The 26,379-nt window shown below is 47.5% G+C and overlaps 1 pseudogene, besides 1 other annotated feature; it reads right to left on the reverse strand.

Moving 5' to 3' along the window:
* LOC112268300 (uncharacterized) lies at positions 878-22,809 on the reverse strand (annotated as a pseudogene).
* Positions 16,012-16,212: a silencer, noted in NCBI's record as "peak4461 fragment used in MPRA reporter construct". NCBI's record gives its function as "represses an SCP1 promoter by STARR-seq MPRAs in K562 erythroleukemia cells {active_cell/tissue: K562}" and the evidence as "EXISTENCE:reporter gene assay evidence [ECO:0000049][PMID:32103011]".
* Positions 22,810-26,379: the final 3,570 nt, after the last annotated feature.

The following is a 26,379-nucleotide window of genomic DNA, read 5'->3' on the forward strand; positions in this document are numbered from 1 at the left end:
CCAAGACCTCTGTGTGTCATGCTGCTTGGCTCTGCCTACAGGAGCAGGTGGGACCCCAGAGCCTGCATGGACAGTCAGTGGGGTCCCAGCCTGCCCTGCTGGCATGCGGTTGGGGTGCAGCAGGAGTGTATGTACTTAAGGAGCTGCCATGGAAGTGACTTGACCCAGGAGAAACAAGCCAAGCGTTGAGTGGATAGGTTTCCTAAATTCTAGGAAAGCTAAGTCAGGGTTTCAACTGAATTTGCAATTTTTGGGGCTTTTCTATTGATGGGATGTACTGGCTAAAAAGAAGAGCCTAGAAGCAGAGTGTTTAAATCTGAGGTCTATGAATGGGGCGTGTCCATGAAATCCCTAAAGCTGTAGGTCAAATGTGTAAGGTCAGGACATTTTAGAAGGGGGAAAGTGTTACTGAGTTCTCCACAGTATTTGTGACCCACAGAAGGTCACAACACACCCATCCTGACCCCCCACTGCTCCATGGTAACCTGGAAGGCAGCATTTACCCTCCACGCACACACACGGTCACCTTGCCCCTCAGCATTGTCAACTGTCTTGGTAGAAAACCTTGCACCTTTCACTTCAAGTGAAGTGTGTTAACATCTGTTTGTAAAAGACCTGGGAATCCAGATATCTTTTCTCAGAACCAAAGTCAGCTCCAGGAAGTTGACTCAAGGTGAAGTGACCTGGTTAGTTCAGCTGTGGCACAACCAGGACCTGCATAAAAACCTCATTCTATGTTTGTGCCATAATATCATCAAAAAACAGTAGAGAACATATGACCCGGACCCTCTGCATCTCAGAAAGACTTATTATCAACTGAAGGAGACAACACGTAGCCTTTGCTGGGGACAGTGGTGTGACAAGTCTCTGGCCCATCCTAGGTGCTGCCCCGCACCTGCTGCCTTCTTCCAGGCCCACCCCACTTGGGCAGCCTGGTAGCGCTGGGCTGGCGGGGTGTCCTCTGGCTGGATCCTTTGCGGCCGCTGCATTCCAACAGGGCCGGCACTCTCCCGAGGGAGGTGCTGTCTTTGTTTCTCCCTGAGGAGACACAAAGCGCAGCCAATAGGAACGGACGAGCCCCGTAACTGCAGCACCTACTGAAGTGTGCTCCTTGAGCAACATTTGTGTCTGCACATTTCCCTCAAAGCCACTTCAAGCTGAAAGCCCTGTATCAGTCCTGAGTCCTGAGGCTCAGAACTGCCAAAGGCAGGTCATGCCCCAGAAGCCCTTGGCCACGGGTCCATTTAGGGAAGGGTAAGGGTGGCTGGTCCATACTTGGCCTGGACAAGGAACCTGGTCTGCCCTGATGGCGCCAAGCAGCAGCAGCAGCAGGGACTTGCCACTTCATCCTCCAGGTGTGTTCACGCTGAACTGTACATCTGAGCTGCCTTAGATGGTGACAGGCAGGAAACACTCCAGTCACCAAGTACTGGAATTGGGTTTCTGATTTTGATTTTGGAAGCTCTCACATTGTTTCCTACCTACCCGAGTATTCTGCAAACAGTGGTCAAGCCTTGTAGGGAGACACCCTGAAACTATTGCTATGGAATAAAAGATGAAATGCTCCTGATTATTGTAAATACAAAATTGCATGCAGGATTGTGTAAAGACAATGCCAGCTTGGACTGCCAGAACGAGCCAACAGCACGTGATGTCCTTCCACCTGCAGAGAGCCTATGAATGGACGTGCAGTCAGGGAGGTTTCACATCACCAAGATTCCTATCCCAGAAAAGCAGATATTCATAGCTCTGGGAATGGAATGCAACCCTTGTGGAGAGCCTATAAACGGATGCATGGGGGGCGCCTGTCCATATGGATAAGATACGGCTATAAACGCCCTCATCTTGCCACAGCTCTTCTAGGCCTCTTTAGGGTGAAGGCATACTCCCTTCTGAGAATTTCTGGTCTAACCAGTTGTCTAGCTTCACGTCCTGTTTCCATGGATTGTTTGTAACCAGCTTTTGTTGCAATTGTTACTGCTGATTAATATCTTGCTAATCATAGGTTATGGAAAGACTGTGTTTCTGTTCTAAGACTCTGTTAGAAATTACTGATGCACACACTATATTGTAAATTCTTATCTTTGTATACCGTACTTCTACATACAAATGTACTGTACTTCTACATACAAATGCTATGTTAAAGAATTACTTCATCCCCATGTGACCATCTCACCTCATAATCAAATGACCCTAAATCCCTCACTAACCTACCCCCGCCCTCACTAAACTTAATAGTAAATGCTGGTATATCCAGTGCATTGTTGGCACCATGGGACCAGAAGGCAGTGACCCCCTGGACCCAGCTTTCACTATCTTGTGTGTGTCTATTATTTCTCAACCTGCCAATCCACCTAGGAGCAAAGAGAGAGCCCCATTGCATTGCGGGCTGCTGGCCAGATCCCTCAATAAAGCCTCTCACTCTGGAGTTTAGCTACTGGATTCCATGACTGGGTTCCTCCCGTGGTCTGAATGCTTGAGACTTTCCTTCTGACCACCAGAGAATCCCAGATGAAGACCACTGGTTCAGATTTCCCTCGATTTGTAATTTGCTTACTCCTTTTTGTGAAGATAGAAAGATCTGCAACCACACTTGGGCCAGAGCTTTATTTTAACGGGATGGATTTCCCTGGACTTGGTGTTGTCAGCATCAGCAAGACCGAGAGGACCCTCTAGAGGACAAATGTGCTTGGGTAGAAGGCTTGCCCATGGGGTCACAGCCCCCCATGTGGAGTACCTTGGCCAGGGCTCTCCTTTGCTCTGGCCTGGTAGAGTCTGCCCCATGGGCTCTAACCAGGGCATGTGTCCCCTGCTTGACTCACAGTGTTGGGTCTCCCATTTTGTCCCCCCAGCTTTGTCCTGACCAAGAGTGTGCCTTGACTGCTCTGTGACCTGGTCAGCTGTATGTTCCCCCTGCAGGCTCAAACCCTAGCTGGGGCCTTGCTTCTTACCAGACACTGATAAACATGTTGTTTGTTGCCTGAAACAGTAAAAGATCTGACATGTTGCTAAGCATGTGGAAACTGGCCCCGCCCCAGCCAAATTCCTTGCACCCTTATATAAACTCCACACTCCACCCCCTCACTGCAGCATGCCTAGGCAGAACCTCCATCCTTGCCGTCCCTCGTGAGGCCATACTGCAGCCTTGTGTGTATGGAAGTTCCCCTAACACATGCTTTGGACTGACCACCCTCACATTAAGTGCTTCTTCCTTTGGAATTCCAACTGGCTCTCATCCCAACTGGCTCTCAGTCACCCAAGTGGAAGGTCTGGGGCAGTCCCTTGCGGGAGCTCTCCTGCCACCACTTTTGGGGTGAGACCAGATGACGGTTCAGCCAACAGAACACTCAGCCTCAATCCTGGTTCTTCCCTGGCCTCTTACCAAGTTTAGTCAAATCACCTGCAATTGGAAACTGCGCTCTTGAAAAAAAGATGCAACCAGGTGTTTTAGGGATCCATGAGGACATTTCCGTTTCACCATTTGTCATCTTGAACAAGTGGAGGCTCCTGTGTCTGAGACGCCATGGATCTTGGCTACTCCAGAGGCCACTCCAGCTCCCTTTCCATGCCAATACTGAAAAGAAAATTCTCCCCAAATCCCTGCAGGGATAGGATGGCCCTCCTTGTGAGAGTTTCTGGGGAGTTCTTCCTCAGAGAATGAGATCTTTGCTGCTCGGTGGGTGGTGAAGGTTATGGTGGTGTCACGCTTGGAACTCTGTCAGCTTGGCACACTCAACTCAAGAAAGACGGAGTCAGGGTTGCCCAGAACCAAGGAGGGGTGCAGCCAGAAGCATGTGGTGGGTGAAGTTTGGCCACCTCAGTCTACCAGTGACTCGTGGAAAAGGCACAAAGCAGAGAATGGCCACCTCGCATTTCCTTTGGTACAAACTGCCATTATTTTAGTCTCCACTGACTGGTCGGGGGAAGGACCCCATCTCCCATGAGCAGATGAGCCCCACCACCCTGCAGCAGCTCCCACAATGGGCCAGCATCCTCCTCTGAGGCCACAGTCCCTCTGCGGGCCAGGCCAGACAGAGTCAGAGCGTCTGTAGCCGCGGTGTTTAGGTGTCCCCGTGCTCTCAGGGTGACTAATGTCCAGCTCCCCACAGCACACGGCAGGGCAGTCTGCAGACCTGGGCCTGACTCAGAGCTGGCTTCCCTTCAGCTTGGCACCATCTGAGCTTCCTCTCTTCCCCTCAGTAATGACTCGGTCCCTTCTGGAAACAAGGATGAGAGGGAAGCAGAAAGGAGGAAGTAAGGGTTTTGAAATTTTTTTTAAAATTTTTTTGGTTTTTAGAGACTGAGTCTTGCTCTGTCACCTGAGCTGGAGTGCAGTGATGCAATCACAGCTCAGTGCAGCCTTGAACTCATGGCCTCAAGCAATCCTCCTGCCTCAGCCTCCAGAGTAGTGGGACTACAAGCATGTGGCCACACCTGACTAATAATGCTTACCTTTAAATCTGACAGGGCTGACAAACCCTTAACATAACTTTGAGCCATAATGGATATTAAGAAAACAATTCTGGAACCCTTCAGGAATCATGTGCTCTTGGGGTTAGTGAGGAGCCCTGTTCAGGCCTCCTCACTTTATGAAGGACGAGGAGGCCCAGAAGAGAACGACCTGCAGCATCTTGCAGTGGGAAAACCAGCTTTTTTTTTTAGCTCTGCTCCCTTGGGAGGGGCTACTGAGTCAGATGGGTTGGACAGTGGGGTTGAACCAAGTGTTACTGCAAGTTGGGGGGGAGGGTGGGGTGACTGATGTCCCCAGGCCTGGTCCCTGGAGGGTCCTTCTATGCACCAAAAACAGTCAATGACCAATGCATGTTAAAACAGACTTCATGCTATAACCCCAGGCTTTGGGAGGCTGAGGCAGGAGGATCCCTTGAGGCCAAGAGTTCGAGACCAGTCTGGGCAAAAACGTGAGACCCTATCTCTAAAAAAAAACAAACCCAAAAAACAAACAAAAGCTGGGTGTGGTGGCCTGCACCTGTAGTCCCAGCTACTCAGGAGGCTGAGGTGGGAGGATCACTTGAGCCCAGGAGTCTGAGGCTGCAGTGAGCCATGATTGCACCACTGCACTCCAGCTTGGGTGGCAGAGGGAGGCTACCTCTAAAAAAAAAAATTAGATTAACAAAACTTAAAAATACAAAAATAAAACAACAACAAAACCAAAAACAGCCTGGCTCATTCTCTTCAAGGTCAGTGCTCCTGCTACTCTGAAACCAGCTGGTGACCACTCGGCATTTTGTGAGCCCCTAACGAAGCAAATCTCAAAATGCAGCAGCCTGTCAGCCTCTCATGATCTGGGGAATCCCTGAAGCTGCGGAGTGGGCCAGACCAAGCTGGGACGCCCTCTGCCATTTACCTTTGGTGTGGCCTATGTGAGCCCAACTCCCCACCATTTCCCATCTGGGCAGAGCTGGTTGGGGAATGAAGATGTGTCCCTTCTGCTGGTCCCCAAGGGTGGCCTTTCTTGTTTCGTAGTGGCAGCGCGAACTTGCGGCAACATGGGCTGACCAACATTTGTGTTAGGAAGGAAAACGGGCAGAGGTGACGTGAGAGAACTGAGAGGGAAGGAAACCACCACTGGCCCTGCTTGAGAAGCAGCCGCAGCCAGGGCAGGTGGCATCAGCAGTGGTGTCTCACTGGCAGGGGCAGGGGCAGCACAGCAGGCCCTTTAGTCTGTGGCTCGCCTAATACTCCTGTCGGACAGTGCTGCTCCAACACATTCATGACATGCCTTCAGCAAACCCAAGTCAGGGGCATGAGCCACACATGCAATTTTTTTTTTGAGATGGAGTTTCGCTTTTGTTGTCCAGGCTGGAGTGCAATGGTGCAATCTCTGCTCACTGCAACCTCCACCTCCCGGGCTCAAGCGATTCTCCTACTTCACCTTCCCAAGTAGCTGGGACTACAGGCATGTGCCACCATGCCCGGCTAATTTTGTATTTTTAGTAGAGATGGGGTTTCGCCATGTTAGTAAGGCTAGTCTCGAACTTCCCATCTCAGGTGATCCACCCGCCTCAGCCTCCCAAAGTGCTGGGATTACAGGAATGAGCCACCACACCCAGCCACAATTTTAAATTTTCTGGTAACCACTAAAATAAAAGAAAATGTGGAATTAGAATTCAAATAATATATTTTAATTAACCCAAAATATCCAACATATTATCATTTCAACATGTAATCAGTACATAAGTTTTTCATGAAATGTTGCAATCACTTTTTTTTTCCTTTTTATTTAAATAGAGATGGGAATCTCACCATATTGCCTAGGCCAGTCTCAAACTCCTGGACTCAAGTGATCCACCCACCTTAGCCTCCCAAAGTGCTGAAATTACAGGTATGAGCCACTGTGCCTGGCCCTGCATTCACTTCTGTTCTTTTGTTTGTAGACACTGGATCTCGCTATGTTGCCCAGGCTGGTCTCGAACTCCTTGCCTCAAGTGATCCTCCTGCCCTGCCTCCCAGTGTTGGGATTATAGCCGTGAGCTACCACGCCCTGCATTCACTTTTGTGCCAGTCCTTTGGCACCTGCTGTGCATAACACACGCAGTGCAGTGACCATGCCAGCCATATATAGCTCGTGGTTCCCGTATCAGGCAGCACAGCTCATGTGAGACTCATGGCTTCCACATACCAAACGTCATCTTACATGCTCTGGACAACTTTAAAAAATGTGTAGTTTCCCTAAACTTAGAGACCGCTTGACTGCATTTAGTTTTCCCTCAATGACTCCAGACCCTCACCACAAGCATTGCCCGTCTGTTCTGGTGTCTTCTGTTTCCCCTCCCTGTGGGTATGAGTGAGCCTGGTGGCGGTGGTCCCCGCAGGCTGTCTGGATGGCTGGGGGACAGGCATCCAGAGAGGCTGGGGCGCCTGCTGCAGTTCACAGAGGCAGGCTTGAGTGGGCCTGGCCCGCGGCCTGGAGAACTCCACACCCAAGTCCTGTGTGAAATCTATGGCCTCCATGCCCTCCAGCTGGATCACTCTGACAACCCCCTCTTATGTTCTCCACCCCAGATTCTGCCATTACTGGGGCAGCTGGAGCTCCGTGTGTTTGGATGCTGCAACACGCGGGTCTCAGAGAGCTCTCGGTATCCCATCTGCGGGCTCTGCCTCTCACTCCGCAGCACACTCCTGGTGTGGCCCCACCTCTGCCCCACTCCCCTCCACCTTCTCCCCAGGTTTCCCTCTATCCCCACGGGGCATCCCCCCAGGGCCTCTGTGCCCTCATATCCTGGCCTTCTGCCACCCAGCCTGCAGGACAGAGCCCTTGAAGAGCAAAGACCCTGAGGGGCCCAGCATGCCAGGCCGCTCCAGTCCTCGTGTTTTGGGTATCCTCTCACTTCTCTCGGAGCCCCCGTTCACCCACACGGCACCCCTGATCCTCCTGGCCCCTTTATGCCCGTGTTCCCAGCACCACGACCCCCGCATACATCTTTTTTTTTTTTTTTTTTTTTTGAGATGGAGTCTCACTCTGTCTCCCAGGCTGGAGTGCAGTGGCGTGATCTCACCTCACTGCAACCTCTGCCTCCCAGGTTCAAGTGATTCTCATGCCTCAGCCTCCCGAGTGGCTGGGATTATAGGCATATGCCACAACACCTGGCTAATTTTTTTTTTTTTTTTTTTTTTTTTTTGTAGAAATGGGGTTTTGCCATGTTGGCCAGGCTGGTCTCTAATTCTGGATCTCAGGCCATCCGCTCGCCTTGGTCTCCCAAATTGCTGGGATTACAGGCATGAGCCACTGCGTCTGGCCCCCGAATACATCTTGACTATGTCCTGCCACCTCCCTCCTCCTGCCCTGGGCCCACCAGCGCCTGGACAGCACTCTGCCTCGCCCACCCCCTCCCACCACCCCAGCTCACACCTTCGGGGCTCTGCTGACCCCTCCTGTCCCGCCCTGTGTAACCCTTACTGCTCTCCTGCTCAGAAGCCTCCTCCTACCTCCATCATTGGCGGTTTTTCTCGCCACCTCTCATTGGAACGAGTGGGACCATCTCACTTCACTGCCACACCCTCTGCACTGACAGACAGCCGGGCCCGGCACCCAGAATCCCTGGGTGAATGGCAACATCCCTTAGAATGACAAGGACTCTGTTCCCAGTTTCTTCCTCCCCGTGGAAACCTGCCCTTCAATTGCTCATCTCAGCCTGCAGTCCGTGCACCCCTACCCCAGCCTGTCCCTCAGCCCCTCCTCACCCTCCCTTGGGCCTGAGCTCTGGTTGGCAGTGAGGTGGGCGCTGTGGGGAGGAGCGTACAGGAGGTGCGACCAGAGCCCCTTGGGCTCTCACAGGCCCCTGGCTCTGGGCCCCTGGTTTCATCACACCTGGTGACACCTGGAAGGTGGCCCCAACTCAGGAGTGAGGCGGGCAAAGGGGCTGAGTGCTGGAGTGTGGCCACGGGACCAGCACACGGCATCTGTGTGGTGCTGCCCAGGAGGCTCGGAGAAGGCGGGAGCCTCTGTTTCAGCCTCCAGACTTCCTGTCGGGGTAGGGGACAGCTTCTAAGAGGCAAGGTGTTTGTCACGCCTGGGGCTGTGCTCTCCAGCACAGCACACCACCCCTCAGCCTGCTGTCCTCCCTTGGGGTGGGTGGAATTCTTTACAGGGCACAAGTCTCACTCACCACAGTTCGCCTCTGGGGTGTGGGATGTTGATCCTGTCCCCAGATGCCAGCCCAACTGTGGGCCATACCATGTCTCTAATAAACAGAGCCAGAAATCGTGCCCTGTCGCTAAGCCACAGGGCAGCGTTGGCCTACATGGTCTTGCCCTTGCAGCTTACAGGTTTTCCTGCCTCCTGGGGCCGGGCACTTTCCATGGAAACAAGGGAGAGCACCAACCACCAGAGATAAGCCAATAACCACGACCTGAGAAAGAACAGGCAGCAAGAGAGGCGGAGGGAATGGGGTGGGGTAGGGGCTGGAGAGAAAGGTGAGTGTGTGGCAGCCAGGCTGTGGGGCAGAACCGGAGAGCCCGCAGGCCAAGGGCCCAAGGAAAAGAGGGGTTCGCAGTGGGGTTATTGTTCCTGGCAGAGAAAAAGGAGGCCTCTGGAGGTCAGAGAGAGACGCAAAGAGAGCAGACAGAGCGCGGGGTCAGTGAGGCCTCTGCGCAGGTGCCTGGGGCCTCTCAGGGCAGGGGGACTGGGTGCCCAGGCCCTGCCCCCATGGGGGCAGCCGGCTCTCCGCCCCTTCTCAGGATGCCTGTGTGGGTGTCCTCATGCTTCCAGGTGGGGAGCCAGCTCTGGGCCTCCTTCCAGTGGCCGGGGAGGTTTTGCTGCATTTCAGAGGGAGCCGTCAGGAGCAGAAGCAACATGTGGGGAGGAAAGCAGAGACGGAGGCTCCACCATGACACACTCTCAGCCTCAGCATCTGCTCAGCCCCAGTCACCATGCTGGAGAGAGGAGGCCCTTCAGGCCCCGCAGGCCTCTGTACCCTGGGAGTTCTGCCTCTGACTCTTGTCCTGCAATCCTCAGAGGGAAGCTGGCCAGGGCTGGTCAAGCCCCTGCATAGGACCTGGGCCCAAGTGGGGTACAGGCAGGGGGTGGCAGGAAGACTTCTGCCTGCCCTGCTCCCTCGGCACTTTCCTGGAGGCTGTAATGCCACAAGACAGGATCAAAACTGTGCTGTTGTTTTTTTTTCGAGAGGAGTCTCACTGTCACCCAGGCTGGAGTGTAATGGTGTGATCTTAGCTCACTGCAACCTCCGCCTCCTGGATTCAACTGATTCTCTTGCCTCAGCCTCCAGAGTAGCTGGGATTACAGGCGTGTGCCACCACACCCAGCTAATTTTTGTATTTTTAGTAAAGATAGGGTTTTACCATTTTGGCCAGGCCAGTCTCAAACTCTTGACCTGAAATGATACGCCTGCCTCAGCCTCCCAAAGTACTGGGATTACAGGTGTGAGCCACTGCTCCTGGCCCAAAACTGTCTTTTAAAAATATTTTTGGGGGTGCTGGGTGTGGTGGCTCACACCTGTAATCCCAGCACTTTGGGAGGCCGAGGTGAGCAGATCATGAGATCAAGATATCGAGACCATCCTGGCCAACATGATGAAACCCCGTCGCTGCTAAAAGTACAAAAAAATTAGCTGGGATTGGTGGCGCATGCCTGTAGTCCCAGCTACTTGGGAGGCTGAGGCAGGAGAATCACTTGAACTTGGGAGGCGGAGGTTGCAGTGAGCCGAGATAGCACCACTGCGCTCCAGCCTGGCGACAAAGCGAGACTCCGTTTCAAAAAAAAAAAAAATCTTTTTTTTTTTTTTTTTTTTTTTTTTACAGACAGGGTCTCACTCTGTCATCCAGACTGGTCTCAAACTCATGGCCTCAAACGACCTTCCCCCCTTGGCCTCCCAAAGTGCTTGGATTGGAGGCATGAGCCCCTGCGCCTAGCCCAAAGTCGTCTTGATTCCTGACTTTGTGGAATGGAGGCATGAGTGAAGAGGTGGGGAGAGGCTGAGGAGGAGGAGCCCTAGCCCACCTGGAGCACCGTGGGGCACGCACTCTGCGTCCACCTGGCCTGGACATGCCTCCTAAGGATAACAGCGAAGCCAGGGAGCAGAGCCCACGGATGGGCCCTGCAGCTGCTGGGCTGAGACCGACAGACAGGCGTGGTCACTCCGGGCCATGCTGGCGCTGTGCTGCCCCTGCCCCTCTCCACCCCACCTCCCGACCACTGGGGCAGGGACAATGGGCCCGGCTCTGACTTCGGGCACGCTCGTCGTGTGCAGAGACACGGCCGCAGAGTCCTGGGGCTCGCTCGCCATCCTCTGCCCGGCACACATCGACTTGAGCATCTGGAAGACGGCCACGGGGGCCACGTTCAACTTCACCTGGCTCTGAAGCTGGCCGCTGTGGGCTGCATGAGAATGGTGTTTCTATAAAACATGGGAATTGCTGGTCAGACACAGTGACTCATGCCCGCAATCCTACCATTTTGGGAGGCTGAGGCGGGAGGATCGCTTGAGCCTAGGAGTTTGAGACCAGCCTAGGGAACACAGCAACACCTCATCTCTACACACACACACACACACACACACACACACACACACAATTAGCTGGGCATGATGGCATGCACTTGTAGTCTCAGCTACTAAGGAGGCTGAGGTGGGAGGATCACTTCAGCCCAGATTGAGGCTGCAGTGAGCCATGATCATGCCATTGCATTGCAGCTACTTGGGAGGCTGAGGCAGGAAGATCATGTGAGCCCAGGAGTTTGAGGTTGCAGTGAGCTGTGCCTCTAATCCCAGCACTTTGGGAGGCTGAGGTGGGCGGATCACAAGGTCAGGAGTTCGAGACCAGCCTGACCAACATGGTGAAACCCCATCTCTACTAAAAGTATTTAAAAAATTAACCTGGTGTGGTGGCGGGCGCCTGTAGTCCCAGTTACTCAAGAGGCTGAGGCAAGAGAATCGCTTGAACCCAGGAGGCGGAGGTTGCAGTGAGCCGAGATCATGCCATTGCACTCTAGCCTGGGCGACAGAGCAAGACTCCGTCTCAAAAAAAAAAGATTATGCTGAAATTTACCACTATTGGTATGAATGATCAGTATTCACCAAGCATATCTGAACATGCAAATGTTTAAGAAATAAGCATAATAAGGATATAGCTTGGGTTAATAGGATTCTCATAGTTTTTTTCCCCTATGAAACATAAGTAATAATTTTAGCATATTTATTATGGATTATACTCATTTAAAAAGGACTTTAAGAAGTTGTGCTTTGGGAGGCAGAGGCAGGTGGATCACAAGGTCAGGAGTTCGAGACTAGCCTGGCCAAGATGGTGAAACCCCATTTCTACAAAAAATACAAAAATTAGCCAGGCGCAGTGGCGGGCACCTGTAATCCTAGCTACTCTGGAGGCTGAGGCAGGAGAATCGGTTGAACCCAGGAGGCGGAGGTTGCAGTGAACTGAGATCGTGCCACTGCACTCTAGCCTGGGTGACAGAGCAAGACTCCATCTCAAAAAATAAAAAAAAGAAGTTGTGGATGTGAATAATACATTTCTCTAATAAAAATTTAAATTGTATAATAGTTTAATAAAGTGTTTACATTCATTGATTTTTTTTTTTTTAAGACAGAGTTCCGCTCTGTCACCCAGGCTGGATTTCAATGGCATGCGATCTTGGCTTACTGCAACCTCTCCCTCCTGGTTTCAAGCAGTCCTCCCACCTCAGACTCCCAACTAGCTGGGACCACAGGCGCGTGGGTTACCATGCTGGGATAATTTTTGTAATTTTTTTGTAGAGATAGGGTTTCACCATTGTTACCCAGGCTCTGTGCTCAAGCAACCAGCCTGCGTCAGCCTCCCAAAGTGCTGGGATTACAGGCATGAGTCACTGCACCTGGCCTCAGTTATCCTTTCTATTACATCCTATGATGTTTTCATAGCCTACAAGGCATCAATTTCTTCTTAATAATTGTCAGTCTGGCCAGGCGCAGTGGCTCATGCCTGTGATCCCAGCACTTTGGGAGGCCAGGGCAGGCACATCACCTAAGGTCAGGGGTTTGAGACCAGCCTGGCCAACGTGGCAAAACCCCCTCTCTGCTAAAAATACAAAAATTAGCCAGGTGTGGTGGCGTGTGCCTGTGATTACATGCTACTTGGGAGGCTGAGGCAGGAGAATCACTTGAACCCAGGAGTCAGAGATTGCAGTGAGCTGAGATCGTGCCACTGCACTCCAGCCTGGGCAACAGAGTGAGACTCTGTTTCAAAATAATAATAATAATAATAATAGTCAATCTGGTTAAAGAGGTAACAATGATCTATTAATGCTTTGGGAAAACAATTTGGGTTGCCTTTGAAGGCCAGGGTTTTTAGTTCATTCAAAAATATTTATTTAATTTATAGCATGTGCCAAGCATTTTTTAGCTTCACAGTATACAGTTGTGAACCAATCAGATAAGGCCCTAACCATTTTTGGCATTCTGTCTAGTTGGGGTGGGATGGGGGCTTAATTAAGATAGAGATATAGAAAAATGCGCATCTATATAACATAAGTATGGAGTTGAGAGGAAGCAACTAACAGTATGTTAGAGATGTTAGAAGTAATATTTTGCAGGTTTGTAACCTCTATTTGACTTTTAAGTTTGGGTAGTGTTAATAGTTGAAGATAGTGTAAAAAAGCCTTAATTTTCACTTTCCTTGCTGGTAAAGGTATGTTTATTTAGACTGTTCATTTATTTATTTCTCACTCTGTCACCCAGGCTGGAGTGCAGTGCTGCAATCTCGGCTCACTGCAAGCTCCACCTCCTGGGTTCACGACATTCTCCTGCCTTAGCCTCCTGAGTAGCTGGGACCACAGGCTCCCGCCACCACGCCCGGGCAATTTTTTTTTGTTTGTTTGTTTTGTATTTTTAGTAGAGAGGGGGTTTCAACGTGTTAGCCAGGATGGTCTCCATCTCCTGACCTCGTGATCCACCCGCCTCAGCCTCCCAAAGTGCTGGGATTACAGGCTTGAGCCACCGCGCCTGGCCTAGACTACCCATTTAAAGTAGTGTTTAACATGGCTGGGTGTGGTGGCTCCCTGTAATCCCAGGAGACTGAGGTGGGCAGATCACTTGAGGTCAGGAGTTCGAGACCAGCCTGGCCAACATGGTGAAACTCAGTCTCTGCCAAAAATACAAAAGTTAGCTGGGTGTGGTGGCAGGCACCTGTAGTCCCAGCTACTCAGGAGGCTGAGGTAGGAGAATCACTTGAACTCAGGAGGCAGAGGTTGCAGTGAGCCGAGATCGTGCCACTGCACTCTAGCCTGGGCAACAGAGTGAGACTCTGTCTCAAATAAATAATAAATACATACATACATAAATAAAAAAAGTAGCATTTAACACAACAATCCTGTGAAAGCGATTCTATTACATATCCACAAGCTAATTAGCTGCACACTCTTTCCTGTATTTTACAATTTAGCATGATTTTAGGCCCCAGTCTTCTCTTCAAATCACTGGTGTTTTACATTTGGCAAAGAATAGGAAGTTACTTTTGATTTATGGAGTGATTATATTATTACTTTAAAAATGTGTTAATATTTTAGGACAGTTTGGAGCCTCTATCTTTTTTTGAGTTAGTATTTCAATTCTCATTACTTATTCTAACAGCTTCTAAGTGAAAATAGTATTTAGGCAATTAAATCGGCATATGTTTTCAGGAATTTTCTTTCATTTTTAAGTTTTGTCATCATTGAGGTTAATGTTTTAACCTGGTGTTCAGTTATGATATATATAAACAGTTTGTGAAGTGAAATAGTCTTAAGTATGATGTGTGATGCACCTACAAATAAACGAAAATGGCGTGCACCATGTCTCTTTACTGTGGGAACTGTACTGGAAGATTTATGAAAGCATGTGACATTGCACCTAAAGTTGTGTTATTAGTGACTATAAGCAGCAGTGCTAAATTTTTCTATTGTACTTGATGAATGAATGCATTTAGTCTAGTCACAGTTACTTTGGTTTAAATGCATTTGTCTTTAGGGTTTGTATTAGTTTTCACATTGCTATAAAGACCCCAGACTGGGTAATTTATAAAGAAAAGCAATTTAATTGACTCACAGTTCCACAAGGCTGGGGAGGCCTTAGGAAACTTACAGTCATGGTGGAAGAAGAGGCACATCTTACATGGTGGCAGACGAGACAGAATGAATGAGCTAAGGGAGAAGAGCCCCTTATAAAATCATCAGATCTTGTGAGCACTCACTCACTATTATGAGAACAGTATGGGGGAAACACCCCCATAATCTAATCACCTCCCACCAGGTCCCGCTCTCAACACATGGGGATTATATGGATTACAACTGGAGATGAGATTTGGGTGAGGACAGAGCCAAACCATATCAGGTTTTTATTTTTTTTAGTATTTTATTTTATTTTATTTTTTGAGACAGAGTCTCGCTGGAGTACAGTGGTGCAATCTCGGCTCACTGCAAGCTCCGCCTCCTGGGTTCACACCATTCTCCTGCCTCAGCCTCCCAAGTAGCTGGGACTACAGGCACCCGCCACCACCACTGGCTAATTTTTTATATTTTTAGTGGAGACGGGGTTTCACCGTGTTAGCCAGGATGGTCCCGATCTCCTGACCTTGTGATCGGCCCGCCTTGGCCTCCCAAAGTGCTGGGCCCATATCAGGGTTTTAAAAAATGTGTTTGTAATTTGTACTCTCGGCAGGGTATTCTTGGGCTGCAGGGGTTGTTGTCAATGTGTGATTTGTGTTTTTATTTTATAGAATAATGTGATGTACCGATTTTTATAAGTGATAGATAATTCGAATAACTGTATATTTGACAACCTATTAAAATATTTTGCATTGGAACTTCTTTCATTAATTGTAACATGCTAACAAACTGATAGTGGTTTAAAAATAACTCATTCATTGAACAACAACAACAAAAGAAAAAAGGTTAAAAGTAAACATTTTTATGGGAAATCTCTTATCCAAAATTCTTTCAAGATTTTACCTTATTTAGTGACTAGTTCTGTATTTTTGCATGAGGAATAAATATGTCTCTGGAAGGAAAAAAACTATTGCTATTAATAGTTATATGAACCTTCTAGAACCTAATCTAATACCAGACAACTGAGGCTAAAGAAATGCTAGATTGCAGCCCCAGTGGCCAGACATGAATATAAGAAGGAAAACAGGCTGGGTGTAGTGGCTCACGCCTGTAATCCCAACATATATATGTATATATTGTGGTGGCTCACGCCTGTAATCCCAGAACTTTGGGAGGCCGAGGTGGGCGGATCACGAGGTCAGGAGATTGAGACCATCCTGGCTAACACGGTGAAACCCCGTCTCTACTAAAAATACAAAAAAAATTAGCCTGGCGTGGCAGCGGGCGCCTGTAGTCCCAGTTACTCAGGAGGCTGAGGCAGGAGAATGGCGTGAACCCGAGAGGTGGAGCTTGCAGTGAGCTGAGATCGCGCCACTGCCCTCCAGCCTGTGCAACAGAGCAAGACTCCATCTCAAAAAATAAAAATAAAAAATAAAAAATAAGAGTTTAGTCCTCACATACCTATGTTTTACATCAATCCCCAAATAGTTCTTTCCCACAAAGCATACTGGACCAATAGTACAGAAATGATTTGTCAACTTCCAACTTTGTCCAGCTAGAAAAACACTAGAAGCCAGTTAAAATGTTTGAGCAAGACAGGACAAATGCTCTGTTTCTTCCACAAACAAATTGCAAATAGGAAAAAAGGAGGGAGAAAGAGCCTATAGATTAAAAGAGATTTATGAAGTGTGCTATCCAAATGCCAGGTGCAGACTTTGTTTTGGCTTCTATGAAACAAGTCAACTTTTTTTTTTTTTTTTTTTTTGAGACGAAGTCTTGCTCTGTTGCCCAGGCTGGAGTGCAATAGTGTGACCTCGGCTCACTGCAACCTCTGCCTCCTGGGCTCAAGCGATTCTCCTCCTTCATCCTCCTGGGCAGCTGGAATTATAGGCACCCACCACCACGCCTGGGTAATTTTTGTATTTTTAGTAGAGATGGGGTTTTACCACGTTGGCCAGGCTGGTCTCGAGCTCCCGACCTCGTGATCCACCCGCCTCGGCCTCCCAAAGTGCTGGGACTACAGGCATGAGCCACTGCACCCACCCAAAACAAGTCAACTTTTTAAATGAAGAAATTTAAACAAACACTGAATATTTGATGATTTTGAAAAATTACTGTTATTTATTTTTTCAATGTCATATTACTATGGCTATGTTTTTAAAGAAAGCCCTTATCTTCTTGAGGTATACTGAAATATTTAAAAATGAGATAACAGATGACTGGCATTTCCAAAATAATCCTTTTTGGGAAAAGGGATAAGAGTGAAATATGACTGATTATGAGTTGGTAATTGTTGGAACTTGGGGTTCATTTTTCTAGACTCTACTTTTTAATGTATTTGGAACTTTATTACTAATTGCTATCACTTTCATTAATACTGATTACAGAAATAAAAAATCAACAAATGAAAAATTCAAGACACCCCCAAAAAGGAACAATGACATTTTCATACATGATATCATCTACTATTTCAATAATATCTAAATAGAGGACAGTTGAGGATGTGACATGGAATACTGGGGTAGAATTTTTTTTTGAAACGGAGTCTTGCTCTGTTGGCCAGGCTGGAGTGCAGTGGTGTGATCTTGGCTTACTGCAAGCTCCGCCTCCCGGGCTCAAGAGGCTGAGACAGGCAAATTACTTGGGGCCAGGAGTTCAAGACCAGCCTGGCCAACATGGCAAAATCTCGTCTCTACTAAAAATAAAAAAAATAAGTCAGGCATGGTGGCACATACCTGTAGTCCCAGCTACTTCGGAGGCTGAGGCATGAAGATTGCTTGAGCCTGGGAGGCAGAGGCTGCAGTAAGCCGAGATTGTGCCACTGCACTCCAGCCTGGGTGACAGAGCGAGACTCTGTCCCGTGCCCCAAAAAAAGTCCATTGTGATTCTTGTCGTTGTCTTACTGTTGAAATGTTTACCTAAGTCTTTCGTTCAAATGGGATGCTCGAGAACACTTCAGGAAAAATGAGAAACAATTAAAATTCTCCAGGCCAAACTTCTTTATTTATTTATTTGGAAGGAGTTTCTCTCCTGTTCCCAAGGCTGGAGTGCAACGGCGAGATCTCGGCTCACTGCAACCTCCGCCTCCCAGGTTCAAGCGATTCTCCTACCTCAGCCTCCCGAGTAGCTGGGATTACAGGCACCCGCCACCACACCCAGCCAATTCTTTTTTTTTTGAGACGGAGTCTCGCTCTGTCGCCAAGCTGGAGTGCAGTGGTGTGATATTGGCTCACTGCAACCTCCGCCTCCCGGGTTCCAGCGATTCTCCTGCCTCAGCCTCCTGAGTAGCTGGGATTACAGGCATACACCACCACTCCCAGCTAATTTTTGTATTTTTAGTAGTGACGGGGTTTCACCATGTTGGCCAGGCATGCACCGCCAGGCCTGGCTAATTTTGTACTTTTAGTAGAGACGGGGTTTCTCCATGTTGGTCAGGCTGGTCGTGAACTCCCAATGTCAATTGATCCTCCCCCCTCCACCTCCTACAATGCTGGGATTAGAGGTGTGAGCCACCGCACCTAGTCTTTTTTTTTTTTTTTTTGTATTTTTAATAGACACGGGTTTCGCCATGTTGGCCAGGCTTGTCTCGAACTCCTGACCTCAGGTGATCAGCCGACTCAGCCTCCCAAAGTGCTGGGATTACAGGCGTGAGCCATCGTGCCTGGCTGCCAAACTTTATTTTTAAAAACATTTAAGGCTGGGCATGTTGGCTTACCCCTGTAATCCCAGCACCTTGAGAGGCCAAGGCAGGAGAATAGTTTGAGACCAGGAGTTCGAGACCAGCTGGGGTAACATAGTGAGACCCCATCCCAATTAAAATATATATATATTAAAAATATTAAAATAGGCTGGGTGCGGTGGCTCACACCTATAATCTCAGCACTTTGGGAGGCCGAGGTGGGCGGAACACCTGAGGTCAAGCGTTTGAGATCAGCCTGTACAATATGGCGAAACCCAGTGTCTACTAAAAGTACAAAAATTAGCTGGGTGTGGTGGCATGAGTCTGTATTCACAGCTACTCGGGAGGCTGAGGCAGGAGAATTGCTTGAACCAGGAGGTGGAGGATGCAGTGAGCTGAGATTACACCACTGAACTCCAGCCTGGGCAACAGAATGAGACTCTGTCTCAAAAAAATAAAAAATTAAAAAATAAAAATTAAAATCATTTAAAGTTCATTTCTTTAGAATATTTCTCTCAAATTATAAATGTAATATTTTAAGCTTCAGTAAGTTAAAGTTACAATACAATAAAAAAGAATTACTGTAGCAGGAGAAAAATAAACCATGAGTGATGTAGGGGGACTATTAAATGGATATTAATTCATAACAGCATGGATTTTTAAAGTTTTTTCCTTTTTTTTTTTTTTTTTTTTGTGACAGGCTCTTGCTCTGTCACCCAGGCTGGAGTGCAGTGGCACGATCATGGCTTACTGCAGCCTCAACCTCCTGGGCTCAAGTGATTCTCCCACCTCAACCCCTTGAGTAACTGGGACCACAGGTGCGTGCCACCATGTCAAAATCATTTTGTGTGTGTGTGTGTTTTTTGTAGAGATGGGGTTTTGCTATGTTGCCCAGGCTGGTCTCAAACTCCTGGGCTCAGTGATCATCTGCCCTTGGCCTCCCAAAGTGCTGGGATTATAGGCGTGAGCCACTGCGCCTGGCCTTTTCCTTAATATTAAATGAAGTATTATTTATATTACAAACCAATTATTTGGAGAAACCCCGTCTCTACTTAAAATACAAAATTAGCTGAGCGTGGTGGCACATGCCTGTAATCCCAGCTACTAGGGAGGCTGAGGCAGGAGAATCGCTTGACCCCGGGAGGCGGAGGTTGCGGTGAGCCGAGATCGTGCCATTGCACTCCAGCCTGGGCAACAAGAGCGAAACTCTGTCTCAAAGAAAACAAAAAACAAAAAAATACAAACAAACCAATTATTACGAAAATGCTATTGGAGAAAGAAACTGTAAAATCTGATCAACTGAGGATCTAGCAGTACTAAAAAATATCACCATTCAATCAGGACAACTAGCAATTCTATATTATATTTAGGGAAGTTTTCTAAATAATCCATTGCAAAGTGAACAATTGAGGATTAACAGTCTTTGAAGAAAAATAATTAAAAAGGCAAAGTTCCAAGGTGAATGAAGAACTGATGCAGAGGAAACAGATACATCAGAGAGCATAAGAAAACTTTAAAAAATTCCAGTGAGTGTGGTCAGAAAGAGGGAAAGGGGTGTTTCCTCACCTCACCAGCTACACAATCATAAAGCAGTGTAGCCTTCATGAGGGAAATATTTCAACCCAAGAATTCCATACTCAGTCAAATCAACTACCAGAACACTGAGGGCACAATGAGACATTGCGAGACATTCAATAACTTGAAAACATTACCATCCTCAATCCCTATGGGGGAAAAAAGAAATGTTACACAATCAAGCATGTATGTGTATACATAATATGTATGTATGTATAATACATCTACATACATATAGATATTCCTGCTGCCCACGAAAAGACTAGCAAATCATCAGAAGAGTAATCCAAAAAACCTGCCGTGAACATAAAACAGTGGCAGCTGACTATGATCTAGAAGCAGCAAAGAAAGTTAGGAAGAAAATAGGAGGAGGGCTAGGCGCAGTGGCTCACGCCTGTAGTAGTCCCAGCACTTTGGGAGGCCAAGGTGGGTGGATCCCCTGAGGTCAGGAGTTTGAGACCAGCCTGGCCAACATGGTGAAACCCCATCTCTACCAAAAATACAAAAATTAGCTGGGTGTGGTGGCGGCCGCCTGTAATCCCAGCTACTCAGGAGGCTGAGGCAGGAGAATCGCTTGAACCTGGGAGGTGGAGGTTGCAGTGAGCCAAGATCGTGCCATTGCACTCCAGCCTGGGCGACAGAGCAAGACTCCGTCTCAAAAAAAAAAAAAGTAGGAGGAGCTCTTCAGTACCCAAGCCTGCACAGCTCTCTGCAAAAGCAGCGGGGCATCTATCTGCCTTCTCTCTGGGTCCAGTCACACCACGACTTGGCTTTGCAGGGAATAAAATGTGCATTACCATAATTATTATAAATGCTATTTACTGGTTTTCAATTCTTATGACCAACTTAGACAAAACAAAGAAAACTTCATTATAGTCACAGAACATAAACATTATACATTTTGACAACACAAAACTGATATACTCCTAATTCTCAAATGAAAATAAATTTTAAGGTGGCAGCCACAGATATAAAGGAAATTAATTAAAATACGATTCCATGTTAATAAGCTAGAAAGTATTGATAAAATTGATGGTATTTCTAAGAGACTATAATGACAAAATCAGCAAAAGAAAATCTAAATAGAATACTAATTTTGGAAAATATTTGGAAAGAAGTCTAACAATATCTCCCACTGAAAAGCACTGTATTTGCATAGTTTTGTAAATGAATACTTTGAAACTTCATTCTCTGAAATATTCTTTTTTTGTTTTCTTCTTTTTTTTTTTGAGATGGAGTTTCGCTCTGTCGCCCAGGCTGGGTGCAGTGGCGTGATCTTGGCTCACTGCAAGCTCCGCCTCCTGGGCTCACGCCATTCTCCTGCCTCAGCCTCCAGAGTAGCTGGGACTTCAGGTGCACGCCACCACGCCCAGCTAATTTTTTTGTATTTTTTAGCAGAGATGGGGTTTCACTGTGTTAGCCAGGTTGGTCTCGATCCCCTGACCTCGTGATCCACCCGCCTCAGCCTCCCAATGTGCTGGGATTACAGGTGTGAGCCACCGTGCCTGGCCCTGTAACATATTCTTGAACACAAGACTGGACGCTTTATAGTTTTTCCTAAAACTTGATCATAACTCTGATACTACAGTATTCCAAGGGTAATATACAAAAGTTAAGACCACAGACTACAGACTACTCCTCATTTGGGAATATCGTTTAAAAAAATAATAAAACATGAATACAAAAGGCTCAACTGTGCAGGTAGAGAATAAAATGCCATGGCTAAGTGTTTTATTCTGGGACTGCTTGAATGATTCCATAGTATTAGGCATATTAATCTAAACAAGAAAAATAGTCAAAGACGAAAATCACGATGGTCTTGAATAGCCATATTTCAATATTAATTTCTCATTAAAAGTCTTAGACTTTTAGACTAATAAGAGTTTTTTTAATGTTTAAAAAAATCTGACTGGGCGCGGTGGCTCACGCCTGTAATCCCAGTACTTTGGGAGGCCAAGGCGGGTGGATCACGTGAGGTCGGGAGTTCGAGACCAGCCTGACCAGCATGGAGAAACCCCACCTCTACTAAAAATACAAAATTTAGCTGGGCGTGGTGGCGCATGCCTGTAATCCCAGTTACTCAGGAGGCTGAGGCAGGAGAATAGCTTGAACCCAGGAGACGTGAGTTGTGGTGAGCCGAGATCGCGCCATTGCACTCCAGCCTGGGCGACAAGAGTGAAACTCTATCTCAAAAAAAAAAAAAAAAAAAACTTTCAAATTAACATTCAATTTTAATGGAAAAAGTCTAGAATATACCTTAAAATAAAAAACAAGTAAAATATTTATAGTAACTACGAGGAAGGAGGCTTTCACTTTTCATGGCATACCCTCCTGTAATGTTTCAATTTATTAGTTTTGAGCATCCTTTTTTTTTTTTTTTGAGACAAGGTCTTGCTCTGTCACCCAGGCTGGAGTGCAGTGGCATGAACGTGGCTCACCGCAGCCTTGACCTCGTGGGCTGGGAACACAGGCACACCACAGCCATGCCTGGTTAATTTTTTAGTTTCTATTTTTAGTAGAAATGGGCTCTCATTATGTTGCCCAGGCTGGTCTTGAACTCCTGGGCTCAAGTGATCCTCCCACCTTGGCCTTCCAAAATGCTGGGATTACAGGTGTGAGCCACCTCACCCAGCAATAACTGTCTTGTGACACAAACAGGTGGATTGGTGCTGTCATCAATAATAATTGTGACTAATTAGCTCATCAGGTCCTAGGATGGCTTTGGGGCAGCAGTTGGTGCAACTTCTGGTAACTTCTGTCATCAAACTCTGGTTATGTGGATGTCTCTGAGTCATATCAATGTAGTAGCCTCTTCTGAGTAGGAATGGTATTTGTGTGTCTCTGGGTCTGAATCCCTCGTGAAACTATAAGCTCCTTGAGGGCAGGTATTATTTCTCATTGCTCTTAGCAAGTCACCTGTTGTTTGGCATACCCAGCTGTCCTCTGGAGACTGTCCTTTACTTTCTGCATCCACATAGCTATAGTAGGAGCCACCATATTTGCGCAACATGGCCCTACCAATGGCTGCTGTTGACTGGACTGGAGATAGAGCCCATCTTAAGCCAAGCCACTGAAAGCCTCATGGCCCCACTCATGGATGTTGTTGATTGGACTGTGGGTAGGGTCCAACCCAAGCTGGACCAATGGAGCTCTTCCTCAAGATTTTGGAATTAAGTTTAAGAGAAGGGATCTTACTGACCCAGCTTGAGTATTTAGAGGAGCTGTTGACACCATTATTTTTCCTGTGAACAGGGAACTAGTTAACGAAGAGAAGTGGTGCTCATAGAGGAGAAAAAAGAATGAGGGACACAGAAAAAATACATCTTAGATTTCCTGGCATCTCTCAGTTCCTGTTTCCAGGCCTGTAGGGAAAAGAAAGAGAGATCAGACTGTTACTGTGTCTATGTAGAAAAGGAAGACATAAGATACTCCATTTTGATCTGTACTAAGAAAAATTGTTTTGCCTTGAGATACTGTTAATCTGTAACTTTAGCCCCAACCCTGTGCTCACACAAATATGTGCTGTATGGAATCAAGCTTTAAGGGATCTAGGGCTGTGCAGGATGTGCCTGGTTAACAATATGTTTGCAGGCAGTATGCTTGGTAAAAGTCATCGCCATTCTCGATTAACCAGGGGCACAATGCACTGTGGAAAGCCACAGGGACCTCTGCCCAAGAGAGCCTGGGTATTGTCCAAGGTTTCCCCCCACTGAGACAGCCTGAGATATGGCCTCGTGGGAAGGGAAAGACCTGACCGTCCCCTAGCCCTACATCCATAAAGGGTCTGTGCTGAGGAGGATTAGTAAAAGAGGAAGGCCTCTTGCAGTTGAGATAAGAGGAAGGCCTCTGTCTCTTGCATATCCCTGGGAATGGAATGTCTCGGTGTAAAACCCACTAGTACATTTGTTCTATTCTGATAGGAGAAAACCACCCTGTGCCTGGAGTTGAGATATGCTGGTGGCAATGCTGCTCTGTTACTCTTTGCTACACTGAGATGTTTGGGTGGAGAGAAGCATAAATCTGGCCTACGTGCACATCCGGGCACAATACCTTCCCTTGAACTTATTTATGACACAGATTCCTTTGCTCACATGTTTTCCTGCTGACCTTCTCCCCACTATCACCCTGTTCACCTGCCGCATTCCCCTTGCGGAGATAGTGAAAACAGTAATCAATAAATACTGAGGGAACTCAGAGACCGGGGCCGGTGCGGGTCCTCCATATGCTGAGCACCGGTCCCCTGGGCTCACTGTTCTTTCTCTATACTTTGTCTCTCTGTCTTATTTCTTTTCTCAGTCTCTCGTCCCACCTGACGAGAAATACCCACAGGTGTGGAGGGGCTGGCCCTCTTCACAGGCCCCTCCCAAAACCTGGCTGCATCAGATCTCCCCCCACCCCTTCACTGCTTGAGTCAATTTGAGTGAGTCTGTTACTTTCAGCCAAAAGTATCCCAAGGAATTTAGAGCCTGAGAGAAGTCCAATGTCACACTGCAGGCCAATGAAGAACTATCCTCTTTCTGCTGACTCTCAAACGCAAAGTTCTTTGGGGCAAGAAAGAAACAAGGAAGAAAAAAATCACTCACATCTGTTGAAGACTTACTATGTGCTAGGTATTTTGGAATGTCATTTATTTAATGTTTACCATGGCAGAAGGTAGATTTTATTCTATTAGCTTACAGATAAGGAAACTGAGGCTCAGATATGTTGAATAACTTGTCTAGAGAAGAAATGGGGATTATATTTAATTATTTTAACAAATTCCATGATTGTCAGTTACCTCCTGTTGCTTTTTTTTTTGAGACAGAGTCTCGCACTGTTGCCCGGGCTGGAGTGGAGTGGCACAATCTTGGCTCACTGCAACCTCTGCCTCCCGGGTTCAAGTGATTCTCCTGACCCAGCCTCCTGAGTAGCTGGGATTACAGGCATGGGCCACCACACTCTGCTAATTTTCTATTTTAAATAGAGATGGGGTTTCACCATGTTGGTCAGGCTGGTCTCAAACTCCTGACCTCAGGTGATCCACCCACCTTGGCCCCCAAAGTGCTGGGATTACAGGCATGAGCCACTGCACCCGGCCCCATATTGCCTCTTAAAAGGTGTGCTATCAGCATGAGGCTGTTGAAAGATAATAAGGTAGCCAGTGAGCACCCTAGGAGGAAGGTGACTAGTACGTTGGCAGTCAGCCTCTTGAAATCTTGTAGAGTACAGACAGAACCAAGAGTTGAGACAGCCATGTCTCCCCCACATTTTAAGACCATTCTCTTTCTAGAACTCACTCACTGCCTTCTGGTTGCTTTAGGACTCCCAGTACCCACCCAGACAGCCCCAGCTCCAGCCTCTGGAGACATCTCCTTAGTGGGTTCTCTGCATGCCCTTCCATCCTTGGGAAAACCCAGAACAAAACCAGATCTTCCAACAGAGGCTCTGCAATGGAAAAATCCCAGGGGACTGAGGTGCATGATCTGCTTTGGAGCACTCAGGGATATCTGTCTCCTCACACTGGGCTGGTTGTGGTGAAGGGTGCACCGGGCTCTTTTAATGTACACATCTGGATTGAACTGAGATTCCCACAGCAGATTTCCTAATGGTGAGTGGAGGACAACAGATAAATAAATATAATTAGGAACAGTATCCAGACTGACGCATGCTGAAGAGTTTCAGCAGGTACCAACAGATATATTCAGGAGTCAGAGAAGCTTGGGAAATTCCCATAGTCATAAATTGTAATCTCCGGGTCAAGTTAGCTGACCATCAGAAATCATCCTGGCAGGTCTTTTAACACTGCAGTTTCCTGAGCCTGACTTCTGAGGATTCTGATTCCATAGGCCTGTGGTGTATTTGTCATTTTGAGAAGCCTCCAGGGGGATTCTGACAACTGGCCAAACTTAGAGAGATTCACAAGGCACATTGTCACATTAAAGGCACTGAAAAGTCCTGTAATAATGACACCCACATCATTTCACTGAACCAGTTTATCAAAGTTACTTGAACACAGATCTCTCCCTCTATATATTTTGTACACCTGTTTTTACAAGGTCTACTGCTCAGGGAGCTTGCCAAGATTTCCTCTTAATAATTCTATACTAATATCATAAATCCAGGTTTTTTTATGTCTTTCCTACCATTTTGTAGTATCCACTGGCTGTTCTCTCCTTGAAGGCAGGAATAGTGTCTGTTTTATTTGCAATATCCCTTATGCAGAGTCTGAGTAAATGAGTCTTTTAAGATAATCTCTGAACAGGGGATGTGGCCCTCTGCCTCCCCGGTTCAATGAAGTACTTTGATACCAGGGTGGAAGAGAGATTTAAAGCAGCATGTCATAGTAGGAAAGGCTGCAGAGCCACTTTTGGTTGACAGTCATGGATGATGAGTGCCAGCAGTCCAGCTCCTTCTCCTCTGAGCTGTTTCTCCACTGCTCTGAGATCAACCTCTTAACAAACTTGGTCCCCAGGTAAAAGCCCTCCTGAGACATTTGGTTAAGAAGAGGAGTTTCCCATTTCTCCCCTTCTCCTTTCAGCCACCAGGCATTGAAGGGAGCAGTGCTGAGGCCATTTAAATGGGCTTCTCCATAGAATGGGCC

This window comes from Homo sapiens, chromosome 22 (genome assembly GCF_000001405.40).
Source record: "Homo sapiens chromosome 22, GRCh38.p14 Primary Assembly".
Lineage (NCBI taxonomy): Eukaryota > Metazoa > Chordata > Mammalia > Primates > Hominidae > Homo > Homo sapiens.